This window comes from Homo sapiens, chromosome 13 (assembly GCF_000001405.40).
Source record: "Homo sapiens chromosome 13, GRCh38.p14 Primary Assembly".
Taxonomy (NCBI): Eukaryota; Metazoa; Chordata; class Mammalia; order Primates; family Hominidae; genus Homo; species Homo sapiens.
This window is the reverse complement of record NC_000013.11, coordinates 52,424,203-52,440,382: the sequence shown is the minus strand read 5'-3', so window position 1 is coordinate 52,440,382 and position 16,180 is coordinate 52,424,203. Positions and strand designations below refer to the sequence as shown.

At 37.5% G+C, this 16,180-nt stretch overlaps 1 protein-coding gene across 3 annotated transcripts in view; it reads left to right on the top strand.

The window, feature by feature from the left end:
- Positions 1-16,180, top strand: part of VPS36 (vacuolar protein sorting 36 homolog) — a 38,029-nt gene that overhangs the window by 10,252 nt on the left and 11,597 nt on the right. For all 3 annotated transcript variants that reach the window (NM_001282168.2, NM_016075.4, NM_001282169.2), the window contains exons 3-9: positions 1,215-1,285; positions 3,979-4,093; positions 5,501-5,590; positions 6,635-6,721; positions 13,164-13,196; positions 13,317-13,394; positions 14,317-14,451. In NM_001282168.2, coding sequence (NP_001269097.1) covers positions 1,215-1,285; positions 3,979-4,093; positions 5,501-5,590; positions 6,635-6,721; positions 13,164-13,196; positions 13,317-13,394; positions 14,317-14,451 — 609 coding nt within the window. The remainder of the gene's footprint in view (positions 1-1,214; positions 1,286-3,978; positions 4,094-5,500; positions 5,591-6,634; positions 6,722-13,163; positions 13,197-13,316; positions 13,395-14,316; positions 14,452-16,180) is intronic.

Here is a 16,180-nt window from a genome sequence, read left to right as displayed (position 1 = left end):
GGCAGAGGTTGTGATGAGCCAAGATTGCGCCATTGCACTCCAGCCTGGGCAAAAAGAGTGAAACTCAGTCTCAAAAAAATAAAAATTAAAAATTAAACATACTGGCTAGACACAGTGGCTCATGCCTGTAAATCCCAGTACTTTGGGAGGCCGAGGCAGGGGGGTCACTTGAGGTCAGGAGTTCGAGACTAGCCTCGCCAACATGGTGAAAGTCCTTCTCTCCTAAAAATACAAAAATGAGCCAGGCATGGTGGCTCACATCTATAATCCCAGCTACTTGGGAAGCTGAGGTGGGAGGATCACTTGAACCTGGGAGGTGGAGGTCGCAGTGAGCCTAGATTGTACTACTGCACTCCAGCTTGGGCAACAGAGCGAGACTCCATCTCAAAAAAAAAAAAAATTAAACATATGAATAAAGGGATACTACATCAATATTTTCTGTTTAAAACTGTTAATAATTGTATATGGGCATATGAGTGAAGTATGGAAAATTATAAAGAAGAGAAAGTCATCTACATAAATGCCCTCCTTAAAATTATCTTGATGTATCTGATTTGTTTTTTGCTTTCAGTGTAAGAAAATATTACGAGTAAAATGTTTTCATAGAAATATTACTCTTAGAAAATGCACCCATTGTGGCTGGGTGCGGTGGCTCACGCCTGTAATCCCAGCACTTTGGGAGGCCGAGCCAGGTGGACTACGAGGTCAGGAGATCGAGACCATCCTGGCTAACATGGTGAAACCCCGTCTCTACTAAAAATACAAAAAAATTAGCCGGACGTGGTGGCGGGCACCTGTAGTCCCAGCTACTCGGGAGGCTGAAGCAGGAGAATGGTGTTAACCCAGGAGGCAGAGCTTGCAGTGATCCGAGATCACGCCACTGCACTCCAGCCTGGGTGACAGAGTGAGACTCCGCCTCAAAAAAAAATAAATTAAAAAATAATAATAATAAAGAAAATACACCCATTGTAAAAACAAAAGCTAGTTACAGCTTCTTTTAAACTTCTTATGTTCTTCCATGCAGCCAAATGCCACCACATTACTGTTTTCATTTAATTTTTCCTTAAGTTCATTTAAGGAGTAAAATCATTATTGTTTTTCATTATTTTTATTATTAAGGCATATGGCACTGTAATGCTATAAAACAAGGATTTCTGACAAGTGTTATGGATGTTGTTTAGAGTCTTTCATTTAAGCTATTGATTTCCTCCTAGGAGTGTTGCATGGCCATTCTCCTTTCCCAAATTGTGTTCATTGAAGAACAGGCGGCTGGAATTGGGAAGAGGTAAGTCTGTGTATAGCACAGTCTTTATTCACAGAAAACATTTCCTGTTATGCTATTGGCCAAGAGGTCCTATCTTAGACTTGATGTACGAATCCATTCTTAAAGCATGAATAAAGCTAAGGTTTGCTGTAATATCCTTGTTTATTATACATGGGTCATAATAAAGAAATGTGGCCCAGTTATCATTGTCTTTCCGTAGACACTTTGCTTTCACATCCCTGTGTACCTGTCATTTCATACTTAAAATCGGAAATAACCTATTTGAGAAAAATAACTGACTTTGCTCCTGTTTCTAGCCTGATCATTAAGTTTGTTTCTCAAGTTTGACTTGTTCAGGTAGCAGAATTAAACAGCATATAATAATAGTTATTGTACAAAGCAGGACATTTATCAGAATAATAGGGGGTACAATGAACAATTAGACCAGGGTAACAGGGATACAATGGGACTATCCCAGGCACACCAGGAGATGAGGCCACTCTGGTATAAAGGCGTAAGTTCAAATGTTCCTGTTTATTCAAATGTACCGAAAACTTGGCTTTATATTTTAAGTGAATGTAATTGAGGAGACATGAACAAATATTATCGGCATGGGATATTTTTTTCCTATGTAGGCTTATCTTTAGGTTTAGCATAATTAGGCACTTCAGTAGAAGTTAAACAATGTTGAGCTTCACTGGACATGCAATGCATGCCTTGATCATAATGTTATGATTTACTGTAAAAGATTATTTATTTGATATAAAAGAAACTAACCAACGTTTTAAAAAGATTAATAAGCCATAGATTTTTTTTAAGCCATAGATTTTTAGGGTAGGTTGTTCTTATGATTTATATTTTCCCCTTATCAATTTTCTCCATTGTATTAAGTTCTAAAAAGTAAACTTTAAGGTTGTTCCAGGTTATCTGAATTTTCCTTTCCTGTGTTCCAAGGAAATCTAAACTAAAAAAAAAATTTAAAATATTTACCTTCACGTTAGTGTCTTATTTTTTAAACATGTCCAGTGAGGAGGACTTCAGTAATATGCCAAGTTACTTTTCAAGTATTCTCTTTAGTTCCCAGCCCCTCCCCTCAAACAGTTATATTTGCATTGATTTCAAGATGTGTACGTTTCACCTTTTAACATCTCTGAAGATGCTTTTTTTATTTCATAATTTTTTTTTTTTTGAGGCAGCGTCTTGCTTTGTTGCCCAGGCTGGAGTGCAGTGGCACTATCTTGGCTCACTGCAAGCTCCGCCTCCCAGGTTCACGCCATTCTCCTGCCTCAGCCTCCCGAGTAGCTGGGACTACAGGCGCCCACGACCATGCCCAGCTAATTTTTTGTATTTTTAGTAGAGACGGGGTTTCACCGTGTTAGCCAGGATGGTCTTGATCTCCTGACCTCATGATCCACCCGCCTCAGCCTCCCAAAGTGCTGGGATTACAGGCATGAGCCACCGCGCCCGGCTTTATTTCATAAATTTAAAATTTAATGAAGTATAGTAATTGGATGACTTGATAAAAGAATGTACACAAAACTTGGCATAGACTTTTTATGCTTACTGTGGAGCTTTTAAACTTTTTTCGATTATACTCATTAGTTTTTCATTGGGTGTCCTTTCACACAATCTGATAGTAGGGCTGAGCGTTTTTTTTTAGTTTCAGAGACTATGAAATGCTTTTGCTTAGTTATCTTAATTGTCATAGTTTTGTTGCTCTACTTGATGGTTTGTTTCAGACAGTTCTATGATTCTGCTCACATAGTTTATTTTCTCACTTCACTTAAAGAAGTTTACCACAAGGGAATAGGAGGAGTCCTTACAAGGCTGGCCCCACCCATTCACATTGAGGAGGCCCAATGCCTGGTGTTTCAATTTTACAGTGATCTTTAGGTAACCATATGGTTCCAAAAAAAGAAAAGTAAAATTGAGTGGTAGGTGTGTATCTATAGCATGATCAATAAAGAAAAAGCACTAAACTAGGTACCCGGGATACTTTGAGTTTTTTAGTTTCCCAAATCTTTATAGAAGATTGCTTATTGACTAGGTAGAAAAAAAAAAAAGGAGGAAAACAGACTTATTAAGCTGACCAAATATAGTGGTATTTTTAATAGCATAGAAGATTATGATAGTCATAAAGATAATGGTAGTTTGTGTTCTTAGAGCCACAGCATTTTGGGAATTGTTTTTGTTATTGGATATCTTTCTAGATCATGCTGTTGATTGAGTGGCATTTTCCAACAAATGATACTGTAGAATGTTAGTTTTGGATGGAATTTTAATAAAATATCAGCTGGCCATTTTTACAGATAAGTTTTCACATTTTGTTTTCAAATGAATAAGGGTGTATGCTTTGGCAGAAATTATAGGCCCCCTTATAACCTCTGGGGACGTTTGTAGTTGGAAAACCATAATCATAAACTCAAAATTTTGCAAATTTATTTTGACCTTATTTTCTAAAGTCACACTCTAATCTACAGAGCTAGTAACTTGAAGCTTTTTGGTTCATAGCTTTGGTTCAAGTTTTAAGTAGAGAGATTTTTGAAAGCTTCATTAATATTGAATTAATACACACTTTAAAAGGATGCTTTTTGGGATGTTTGTTTCTACATGAATTTTAAAAGTGATTTGAAATACATAAAAAGTTATAAAAGTAGAATTAGTTATATTTTTTTGAAAGACAATTCAATATATTACATTTGTTCTTTCTTCAGTGCCAAAATAGTGGTTCATCTTCACCCAGCTCCTCCTAACAAAGAACCTGGCCCATTCCAGAGTAGTAAGAACTCCTACATCAAACTCTCCTTCAAAGAACATGGCCAGATTGAGGTAAGTTTCTACATGAATAAAATCGTACTAGAAAGGTGTGTGTGTGTGTGTGTGTGTGTGTGTGTGTGTGTTGTGGCTTGTTAATATGATGGAAGGTAGTATTATACAACATACCAGATTTCACCATATTTTTACAATAAAATTTTTATTATATCTTAAGCCTTAGCAGTGAGTGGAGAATATGAAGTTTAGGTTTCAGTGGGAATGGGAAGCAGAGGTTGTGTTCCCAAGGAAGGAACAGAGGCTGGAAAATACACTAAGTCATGCCATTCGCCTGCTAGCAGAGTTTTCAGTGGTATAGTTTAGTTAAAGGAACAGAGTGTAAATGCAGTGGTATGTTGAACTATCTCAGTATCTGAAGGTTCCCCAGCTTTAAATCAGGCTGTCTGTCTTGATTAACTCCAGTTAATCTTAATCACTTAAGTACTTATTCTGCAGTATAATAGTTTGTATGTTCTGAATAAGTTGCTGTACAAGAATTCTTAAGATAATTAGAAGTGCGTATTTATTCTCCCCATCAATATCATAAATTATTATTAATTTTTTTCTATATCACCTCACCCAGTGCTCCTGACAAGTGATCACTAAGCAGATATAAGTGATTGACTAAAGTTTTTCTCATTGAAGTTGAAAAATATATTTGATTATTTGTGAGCATAGGTATGTTTTGGTCCTACTTTTTGGTTTTATATTTTAACTAGACAAATGATTCTCTGCTTCCTTCATGGAGAATGGTTGTATATTTTTCCTGGCACTGTGTTTGTTTCATTATAGATCGAAAACAATCCACATACACAGGATTGTTTAAAGTAAGTCTATTGATTTCATTGTCACTCATCTCTTTGTTGAGAATAGCCCACTTTATATAGAAGGTCAGTTCCTTCTCTTTTTTTTTTTCCCTTGTGCTTTCTGAAGCTGATCCAAGAAAAGAACTTCCTTTGATTTTCTTTGATGTCTCTGAGAATTCTGGGCTTGCTGCAAATGACTGAACAGACTTTTATACTGAAGAAATGTTAAGTGGCCGGGCGCGGTGGCTCACACCTATAATCCCAGCACTTTGGGAGGCTGAGGCGGGCAGATCACCTGAGGTCGAGAGTTCAAGACCAGCCTGACCAATATGGAGAAACCCCATCTCTACTAAAAATACAAAATTAGCTGGGTGTGGTGGCACATGCCTGTAATCCCAGCTACTTGGGAGGCTGAGGCAGGAGAATCACTTGAATCGGGGAGGCGGAAGTTGTGGTGAGCCTAGATCACGCCATTGCACTCCAGCCTGGGCAACAAGAACAAAACTCCACCTCAAAAAAAAAAAAAAAAAGAAAAAAAGAAAGAAATGTTAAGTAATGATTTATACAAGGATGTTACAATCTGACTGAGTCATTTAAAGTGTATTTATTTGCGTATCAGTTTTACAGGCGTTTATCAGAGGAAATGACACAAAGAAGATGGGAGAATATGCCAGTTTCCCAGTCATTACAAACAAATAGAGGACCCCAGGTATTTTTAAAACTATTTGCTAATCCAGTATTTTCAACTCTGTACTTACATCTTCATTAAGAAAAAGACTCTGTGATTGTAGAACTTGCCCAAAACAAAATACTGCAATGGTATTCTTATAAAGAATTTATTTTCGGTAGGGCGCGGTGGCTCACGCCTGTAATCCCACTACTTTGGGAGGCCAAGGCGGGGTGGATCATGAGGTCAGGAGTTCAAGACCAGCCTGGCCAACATTGTGAAACCCTGTCTCTACTAAAAATACAAAAATTAGCCAGGCAGGTTGGTGCACGCCTGTAATCCCAGCTGCTCAGAAGGCTGAGGCAGGAGAGTCACCTGAACCCAGGAGGCGGAGGTTGCTGTGAGCCAAGATTGCACCATTGCACTTCAGCCTGGGCGACAGAGCAAGACTCCGTCTCAAAAAAAGAAAAAAAAAATTATTTTCACAGCACCTAATTTAGTGCTGTCTATACAGCAGACGCTTAGTAAACATAAATGACTGCTTACCAGCGTAATTCTTAGGGTGATAGAAGGTAGGGTTCACTCACTGCATTCTGTTCTTCATAATCAGTGTGACATTTGAGAGAATAGACAGTACAGCTGGGTAATGTTTTCCAGGCCTGTCTAAATTAATCACCAACACTAGACAGGTACTCAAATGTATGAAAGTAGCTTGAATAATAACTTAATTAAGAACCAAAATTTAAACTGTGATTTTTTTTGTACATTTGAGACCCTATTAAGTATCTGATACGTAATAGCTTGCCAAAGAAGGAAAATGATAGGAAATTTAACTTATCTCTAAAATGCAGAGTAAAATATGCCATTTATTGTATATTTGGTTTTTCCTGAATGATTTTAAGATCATTATGTACAGCAAGAAACAAACACATGTTTTGAAGGGAAGCTAAATGTCCGTGTATGCTGTTTTTCTTTGGTTCTTTGTAGGTCCTTTCCCGCCATTGAAAACACAATGTGGTTGGTTACAAAAGATTTTGTTTCCTTCCTATTTTGTATGTTTTATTTTCTACCTCTTTTTTTTTTCAGCCAGGAAGAATAAGGGCTGTAGGAATTGTAGGTATTGAAAGGAAACTGGAAGAAAAAAGAAAAGAAACTGACAAAAACATTTCTGAGGTAACTGTTAAATTCTGGCTCTCCATCTATTCCAGCCATTTGTGTCTATTCTTTTAGATACAGCTGTGCCTAATTCCCTTCTGTAATTTAGAATATATTTCATTTGCCTGAAGCTACATAGTCTCCTATTCTCTTTAACAGGTCTACCTCGGGCTGGCAAAATCTAACCAAAACCTTTTTCTAAAAGGAATAAAAAAGAAATGCAAATTTGTTTGCTGTTAGAAAACATCATAAAATGTTGTGTGTAGATTTTACAGTCTAGATGAAATTGATTGGCGGATACTCCTAATGAGTTCAGGGTTCTCTGTATAATTATTTTGGAAGTTGAAGTAACTTAGTTGAGAGAAAAATGCTATTCTGTGGCCAGTCTGTGGCCAGATACCACACCATTTTATGTTGATGACCACCCAGGGATCAGACCAGACATCAGTAAGAACGGCTCAAAGCAGCCCATCACTTCTACTGGGGGACAACCCTGAGCATGTACATTCCAGTGTTTCTGAGGCTTCATGATATATGAGGAAATTCAAGAGAAGGGGAAAGAACTCTAGCTAAAAAGACCAGTTATGCATTAGATTCTGTAATTAGTTAATACAGCTAAACATATCACTGGTTTTTCCATGTTTATATAAAAATGGTCTTGGTTTTTTATGAAATGATGCTTTAAAGTAAATCTTTGGTTTTTATAGTAATTCATAAGTAAAATTCTGTTGATGGTTGCTTTTCAGAGAATTTCAAAGATTTATGTCAATCAAGTAAAGTCTAAAACTACAAATAGTTATTTAAATACTTATTTTGGGCTCACTAATTGAAAATATAGATTACTGTTGGGGAACCAAGGGCATTTGACCTATTAAGTGCCCATAGTAGGTTTTTCTGGATATGTATCTGTGGTGAAGTTGTATATTTTCCTCAACCCTGTATTTTCCCCAAATTGGCAGCTGGATCCAGAATCTCTGTCACACTCATGTTCTGTCCGTTTGGCAAAACTAGAGGTGATGCTGTGTTCTTTCGTCAGAGGCACATCTTATCTCTGTCATGTTAGCAGCTGTTAATATTCAGTGCCTAGATCTATTAGTTCATTGGTGGTGGTAAATAGTGATAATTCTGTGTTTATTTTTCATTTATTAGTTGGAATACTTTTTAAAGAAATGTTTCCCTTATCTACTATTTGGTTGTCCAGTTCATATAGGAAAGGCAGGATAATTGCATTTTCCTTTATCATCAGGGTAATAAATTGTTTCCTTATTATCTTTTGACGATGACTAATTAGGTTTGTTTGTTTTTTTGTTTTGTTTTGTTTTGTTTTTTGAGACAGAGTCTTGCTCTGTCGCCCAGGCTGGAGTGCAGTGGCTCGATCCTGGCTCACTGCAAGCTCTGCCTCCCAGGTTCACGCCATTCTCCTGCCTCAGCCTCCCGAGTAGCTGGGCCTATAGGCGCCCGCCACCAAACCTGGCTAATTTTTTGTATTTTTAGTAGAGACGGGGTTTCACCATGTTAGACAGGATGGTCTTAATCTTCTGACCTCGTGATCCGCCGCCGCGGCCTCTCAAAGTGATGGGATTACAGGCATGTGCCACCGCGCCCAGCCAACTAATTAGGTTTTTTTTAACATGTCATTATGAATTCATGGAGTTTAGCATATTTGATGGATTTCAATCAGTTATAATTATTATCCTATTTGAAGCTCAAATTGTCCCATCTTTGGCCAGTGGGAGCTGCTTCAAGTTGGCCCTCTAAGTGCTTTTGTTGTGACTAGGTGAACTTTGCTAGCTTCTTCACTATCTGGTGTTGCAAAAGCTCCAGGACCATCTTGTACATTTCCTGCCTCAGATCCGGAATCAACCATTTATCTGAGAAACTCTGGTTTCTTTCTTTCTTTTTTTTTTTTTTTTTTTTGAGACAGAGTCTTACTCTGTCGCTTAGGCTGGAGTGCAGTGCCGCTATTTTGGCTCACTGCAACCTCTGCTTCCCGGATTCAAGCGATTCTCCTGCCTTAGCCTCCCGAGTAGCTGGGATTACAGGCGCGCACCACTGTGCCCAGCTAATTTTTGTATTTTTAGTAGAGACGGGGTTTCACCATGTTGGTCAGGCTGCTCTCGAACTCCTGACCTCGTGAACCGCCTGCCTCGGCCTCCCAAAGTGCTAGGATTACAGGCATGAGCCACCGCGCCCAGACCGCTCTGGTTTCTTTTAGTGGGAAATGATATTTCAGAACCACAATCTGCCTGCTAGTAATATTCATCAGTATTGGGTTGATCTTTGTTTCTAGGCTTTTTCAATGGACAGAGCTAGAATTTTGTTGTTGTTAATATAAAGTGCCTAACAAGAGCGTACTTATCTTTTCTATTCAAATTTAAGATGACACTACCAGATAATTACTAAAGCAGTTGAAAAAAAATTTTATGTGTTTTCCCCATTCTTTGTACATTTGAAAAATAGGTGCACTGTGTTTACGCTGTCTGAGCATACAGCCACTACATACACTCTCTGCCTCAGCTCCAGCTCTCATTGACTCTTAGTTTTATAAGTACCTCCATGTTTAGTACCACTAGTCCTTATGCTGAGCTCTCTGTGGTCGCTTTGGTTGTCTGAAGCCTCATTCTGTAGTAGATTTTTAAGGAAATGATCATAGGAACAATATTCCCTGTATCTGCCATGTTTGTCTTCCTTATACATGAAGGTCAGTTTTCTTGGATTTAAAATCCTCAGCTCACATTTTCTTTCTTTGAGTGCCTTCATTATATTACTTTCTTTCTTTTTTTTTTGGTCTGGCATGAAGTGTTGCTATCAAAGAGTGATGATAATTTTATTTTTTCCCCTTAAAAGACACTTGCTGTTTTTCCTAGATGGGCAAAGGATTTTTAAATTTTACTTTAAAGCCCAGTAATTTTACTAGAATGTGTCTGTGTATTAGTCATTCTGAGTTGTTATTCTTAGGTGCGTGCTGTGCTTTTTCAGTATATAGTTTCAGGAATTTTTTAATTTCAGGGAAATTTTTCTGCATTATAACTTACTTTTTTTTTTTTTGAGATGGAGTCTTGCTCTGTTGCCCACGCTGGAGTGCAGTGGCGCAATCTTGGCTCACTGCAACCTCTGCCTCCCGGGTTCAAGCAATTCTCCTGCCTCAGCCTCCCAAGTAGCTGGGACTACAGGTGCGTGCCACCACACCCAGCTAATTTTTTATATTTTTAGTAGAGATGGGGTTTCACCATATTGGCAAGGCTGGTCTCGAACTCCTGACCTCGTGATCCGGTCGCCTCAGCCTCCCAAAGTGCTGGGATTACAGGCGTGAGTCACTGTGCCCAGCCTGTAATTTTCAATAATTGCTTTGATTTTTTTTCTTCTGGGACTCCTATTAGCTGTATGTTGCAGTTTCACTGCCTTTCTTCACAATTTGTGACTCTAATGCTTTTCATTTCTTTCCTCATTTCTTTTTTATTTAGAAAGTTTTCCTCTTTTTCACCTCTTTGAAGGTTTCATCTGTTGTGTTTATTCACTAATGTCTAGTGTAGACTTTATTTCTGAAATGATTTTTTTCTTTTATTTTTAATTCTTTCCTGAGTCCTGTCACCTATTTCTGATTTATATTGACCCTTCATAGCTTGTATCATCTTCTTAACATCTTTTAGATGTTAGATATTATTTTGAAATAAAAGGTTAATAGTGGACCCTCCCGTAATTGAAGAAGGCACCATCCTCCCCATTTTAGGCACTGTTCTCTAATTGGCCTGCCTTCCTTTCTGGTGAATCCCTATTGGCTCTCTTGGGGCTCTTGCATTCTCAGGTCTGTGGTTACATTGTTGCTTTTCTTTTCTTTCTCCTGCCTAGATCCTGGCATTGCTACTTGTATTTTTCTTTCTGATACTGCCATACTAACTCAATGTTATGTTGAAAATAATGTTTTTCTTAATTTATAAAGTAAGTTATTTTGTTTCAGTCTAATTTTTTTGGAGTCACATAGTTCAAAGGATTCTACATAAGCATTGTGCTCACCATACGGACCATTAATTTATTCAGCAGGTCATTAACCATGCAGATCATTAATTTATTCAGCAGATATTCCTCCCTACTTTGTGCCAGGCCTTGTATCAGAGGCTGTGGATACTGTGGTGATGCACAGACACAGGCAGGCAAAGAGGCATTATCCACGGTGGGAGAAACACCTTGCAAGGAGAAGATATAGGCTGCAGCAGGGGTGTATAACATGATCCCTAACTTCTGTTGAGGTCACGGAGGGCTTGCTAGCAGCAGGAATATGGAAGTCAAAGGCTGAAAGATGAATAGGCTCTAGCAGATGACCAGCATGGATAAGAAGAACCCAGGAAAAGGGAATGGAATATGCAAGGCACATTCAAGAGTACTGAAGTGGAAAATCAAGAATATACTGAGTTACTGATGCTAATAGCCAAAGTGATAACTAAAAGTAAGTAAGAAATCATGCTGTAAGTCAGCTTAAGGGGGTACTCCTGGTTTTAAAACAGGTGCTGTTTTTCTCAAAATTGGAGTGGAAATTTGACTATAGGTGTGGTAGAGGGATACAAGGTTCCATAAACTGGCAGATGCAATTATAGAATGGATATGTGCATCTCTTTTGCTTTAATTTTTATTGTAGGTAGTTTCTTTACTCATTTTTTGATAGTTGACTAATTCCAAATTTTATAATAATTATAAAAATAAAAGTGAGGAAGCTTTTCTCTGTGTTTTATAATCACTTAAAATATTTATAGACATTTCTTCTAAGGCACAAAAATATTTACTTTTTTTATTGCCTATGTATAAGTTTACAGGACTTATTTACATATTCTTTGTGGACTCTCAGCTTATTTTTTCTACAGCAACATAATATAATAAATACAGTGATTTACCATATACAATTTAAAAGTGTTATCTTTACCAGTTTTCTTTACACAGATAAAAAAATCTATTAATATCTTATATATTAAAAGTAAAAACCTAAGTGTGCAAAATGTGTGTTTTATTTTTGAAAACTAGGTTGGTGTGTGATTTGCCCTCTATTTAAATGTTAGAATTGACTTAGTTTCAGAGCTGGCGCCCAGAGTTTCTCACAAAGGGTTTCCTGCATCTGCTGGCTCTAGCTGATAAGAATCCAGTGTTTAAGCCTTTTGTTTATCTAAGGAAATTCCTGTTAGGTGTGTGCACATTCCCCTTTGTTTTCAGTTATTAACCTTAGTGAGTTGGCCATAAGAATACGCAACACACTATTCTTTTAGCAAAATCCTTTTGCAGATGGGGGATGCTTTCCTGCAGATGGGCATAAGCTGATCAGAGCCACTATTATATGTTTCAGACCACCATATGGACTGATATTTCAGTTAATGACAAGCTGCTTAACTGGTTTTAAAAAATAACATCTGTATGCATCAATTAGATAAGATTCTGCACTGGGAGTATATTTTCAGTAACTTGAAATAATTTATTATAAATATATTTAAATTCAAAGAGGCCTTTGAAGTAGTTTTTTGCTGTAGCAAATTAAACAGTTGATTCTATGTAGATACATTTAGATGGTATTTGAATGTTTTTCTTTTGTGATAGCCACCATATCTACAAGCATAATGAGTATGATAATCAGAGGCTGATTATCTTACTTAAACTGATTATCTTACTTGCTAAACTTACTGTTTCAGTTAAGTAATACCTGTTTAAAGCCAAAATTATTGTGCCCAGAGAACTATTCCTGCAGCTGTGTATTGCCATTTTCAACCAGGAAAGCTTTGTAGTGCTTTTGATTCTTAGAGACTTCCTATTAGAAAATGATTTTAGAAAAAACCAGTGACAGTGACAGAATTTCTTACTTTTCTCAAATAACAGTAAATAATATTTTCTGAACTACTGTTTATATCACCTTTTGCTTATTTAATCAATAATAATTATTTTCTTTGAAAATGTGAAGTTCTTTTGCAGTTTGTTTGGAAAATGTATGGTTTTTTAGCTAAAATGAAATTTTAGAATAAGGTAGATTTATTATTTATATAAATAGTTATTAACAAATTGATATTTGCAAGAAAATTTAAATTTTTTTTTTTTTTTTGAGACAGAATCTTGCTTTGTCGCCCAGGCTGGAGCGCAGTGGCGCGATCTCGGCTCACCGCAAGCTCCGCCTCCTGGGTTAACGCCATTCTCCTGCCTCAGCCTCCTGAGTAGCTGGGACTACAGGCGCCCGCCACCACGCCCGGCTAATTTTTTTTGTATTTTTAGTAGAGACGGGGTTTCACCGTGTTAGCCAGGATGGTCTCGATCTCCTGACCTCGTGATCTGCCTGCCTCGGCCTCCCAGAGTGCTGGGATTATAGGCGTGAGCCACTGCGCCCGGCTGAAAATTTCAAATTTTTATGGGGAAAAAATAGAGGGTGCTTCATTTTTTTAAGTCATTTTAATTCTTTAGATGGATTTCAACCAAAATTCATTTCTCATTTCAGGCCTTTGAAGACCTCAGCAAACTAATGATCAAGGTATATGTCATTTATGCCTATTAAATTCATACCAATTATGATACAGTTTTTGAAATATATTTTGTTAGCAGACATTTTGGGGACAATAGTGCTTTTCAGTCTTTACTTTTTATTTGACAGGCTAAGGAAATGGTGGAATTATCAAAATCAATTGCTAATAAAATTAAAGACAAACAAGGTGACATCACAGAAGATGAGGTAAATAAGTTGCTTTTTTTAAGGCATTTGAAACTAGATAACACAATGCAGTAAGGTTTTTGTGGTTTACATTGGCTTTCTGAATGTACTGTTTTATTTATTATTTATGTTTTATTTATTGTTTATTTATTTATGAGACGGAGTGTCGCTCCGTCGCCCAGGCTGGAGTGCAGTGGCACGATCTCGGCTCACTGCAACATCCGCCTCCCGGGTTCAAGCGATTCTCCTGCCTCAGCGTCCCGAGTAGCTGGGACTACAGGCACGTGCCACCACGCCCGGCTAATTTTTTGTATTTTTAGTAGAGACCGGGTTTCACCGTGTTAGTCAGGATGGTCTCGATCTCCTGACCTCGTGATCCGCCTGCCTCGGATTACAGGCATGAACCACCACGCCCAGCCTGTTTTATTTCTTTTAGGACTTGAGGATATGTGAAAGTGCCAAAGAAAAGTCAACCGTAAAAATTATATTAGTTCTATTAGGATTAAAGGCTATTTCAATGCCTTTTTTTGGAGTGTAGAAAACAGAAATACTGAAATGTACAAGGAGTGGCTGTTTTATACATATCCCTAAGTTTGATGTTTGTTTCATTCAGTTTGTCTACAGTCTAATCACAGCCATTTTCTTTTCAGTTGTACTATTTGGTTGGCATTAAATATAGCAGAGGCATTTTCTGAATCTCCTTTCACATCAAACTTATGAAGTAAACAGAATATGAGAGACCAGGAGAGAAGTAGGAAGGAGAATAATTAGATGTATGCAGGGAACTCCTGGAAATCTGCTCCCTTATAGTTCACAGCATAGAAACACAGTAGAAGGAATGGGGATATGTAGACATAATTGAGTGGAATTGAATTTGTGATGGAAGAATTTCAAATATTGAGGTGGAGAGACTAATTCTGCATTTTCTCCTTTTTTATTATAGACCATCAGGTTTAAATCCTACTTGCTGAGCATGGGAATAGCTAACCCAGTTACCAGAGAAACCTACGGCTCAGGCACACAGTACCACATGCAGCTGGCCAAACAACTGGCTGGAATATTGCAGGTGCCTTTAGAGGTAAAAACTAAACCTATGTGTTTTTTTTTAAACTGTGTTAAATTAGCCCTATGTCATTAGAAATGTTAACAAGAGCATAACTATTTTCATGATATGGTTATTGTCAACTGACATGTTTTTTTTTTCTTTCAGGTATATTAAATAAGTTCATTGTGCTTATTATTCTTTGTAATTTTCTAAGTTGTTTTTAATTTTCATTTTTGACATCTATAACTTTCTAAATCTATTTGATATGAAGTTTTCCTTATTTTTAAAAAGGAAATATATGATCTTTCTCTGAATAGATATATTTCCATACATCTAGTCTTTACTATTTAGTACTATTAATCATTCCATAATATAGATTCATCTTCTAGTCTGATAGTATTCAGGCAGTCAAGAGTTTATTAAAGCACTTGTATTAAAAAAGATTTCAAACCTATGCCAAATAGAATAGTATAATGAATCCTCTGTGGCCATCATCCAGCTTCTCCTGTAAACCAACCTCCACTCAAAATTATTTTAAAGCAAATCCCAGACATCACATCACTTTATCTGTAAACATTTCATTATGTAACTCTAATGATAAATACTCCTTTAAATACAACTATAATCCCCTTTCATAATCTAAAAAATTAAAATACTTTCTTAATGTTATCTAATATCTAGTGTTCACATTTTCTTTTTTTTTTTTTTTTTTGAGGCGGAGTCTCGCTCTGTCACCCAGGCTGGAGTGCAGTGGTGCAATCTCAGCTCACTGCAAGCTCCGCCTCCCAGGTTCACACCATTCTCCTGCCTCAGCCTCCAGAGTAGCTTGGACTACAGGTGCCTGCCACCCCACTGCGCCCGGCTAATTTTTTGTATTTTTAGTAGAGATGGGGTTTCACCGTAGTCTCAATCTCCTGACCTCATGATCCGCCCGCCTCGGCCTCCCAAAGTGCTACATTTTCTTTTTTTTTTTCTTGAAACAGAGTCTCACTATTGTCGCCCAGTCTGGAGTGCAGTGGCGCAATCTCAGCTCACTGCAACCTCTACCTCCCGGGTTCAAGCGATTCTCCTGCCTCAGCCTCCTGAGTAGCTGGGATTACAGGCGCCCACCACCACGCCCAGCTAATTGTTTTGTATTTTCAGTAAAGACAGAGTTTCACCATGTTGGCCAGGCTAGTCTCGAACTCCTGACCTCAGCTGATCCCCCTGCCTTGGCCTCCCAAAGTGCTGGGATTACAGGTGTGAGCCACCGTGCCGGCCTAGTATTCACATTTTCTCTTACAGTTGGTCTGTTTCAATCAGGATTCATTGCAGTTTGTTGGTTTGTTTCAAAAGTTTGTTTGTTTGTTTGTTTTTAATTTCATGGGTTCTTTCTTCTCCTGCCTCTTACCTCCCACCCCACCGTGTGTTTCCTGAAGAAATTAGTTGTTTAGACTATAGGGTGTGCTTTTCTGGTCCTATGTATTTCCTATAAACTGGTATTTATAATAAAGGTTTGTTAGGGTTTTTTTAAATTATTATTGCAGGACTATTTCATAGAGGCTGTTGTGTACTTCCATCAAGAGATACATAATGTCTGATTGTCTTTTTTTAATTTTTAAAAAATTTTTTGTGATGTTAACAGCCATTGACAGTCATTACCTAGATCTGTTATTTCACTGGAGGTTGCAAAATGGTAATAGTCTTATTTAATTCTATACTTTCTTCATTTATTAGCTGTAATAAGTTAAAACATTTAAATGTATTTTTTGAAACATGGTGT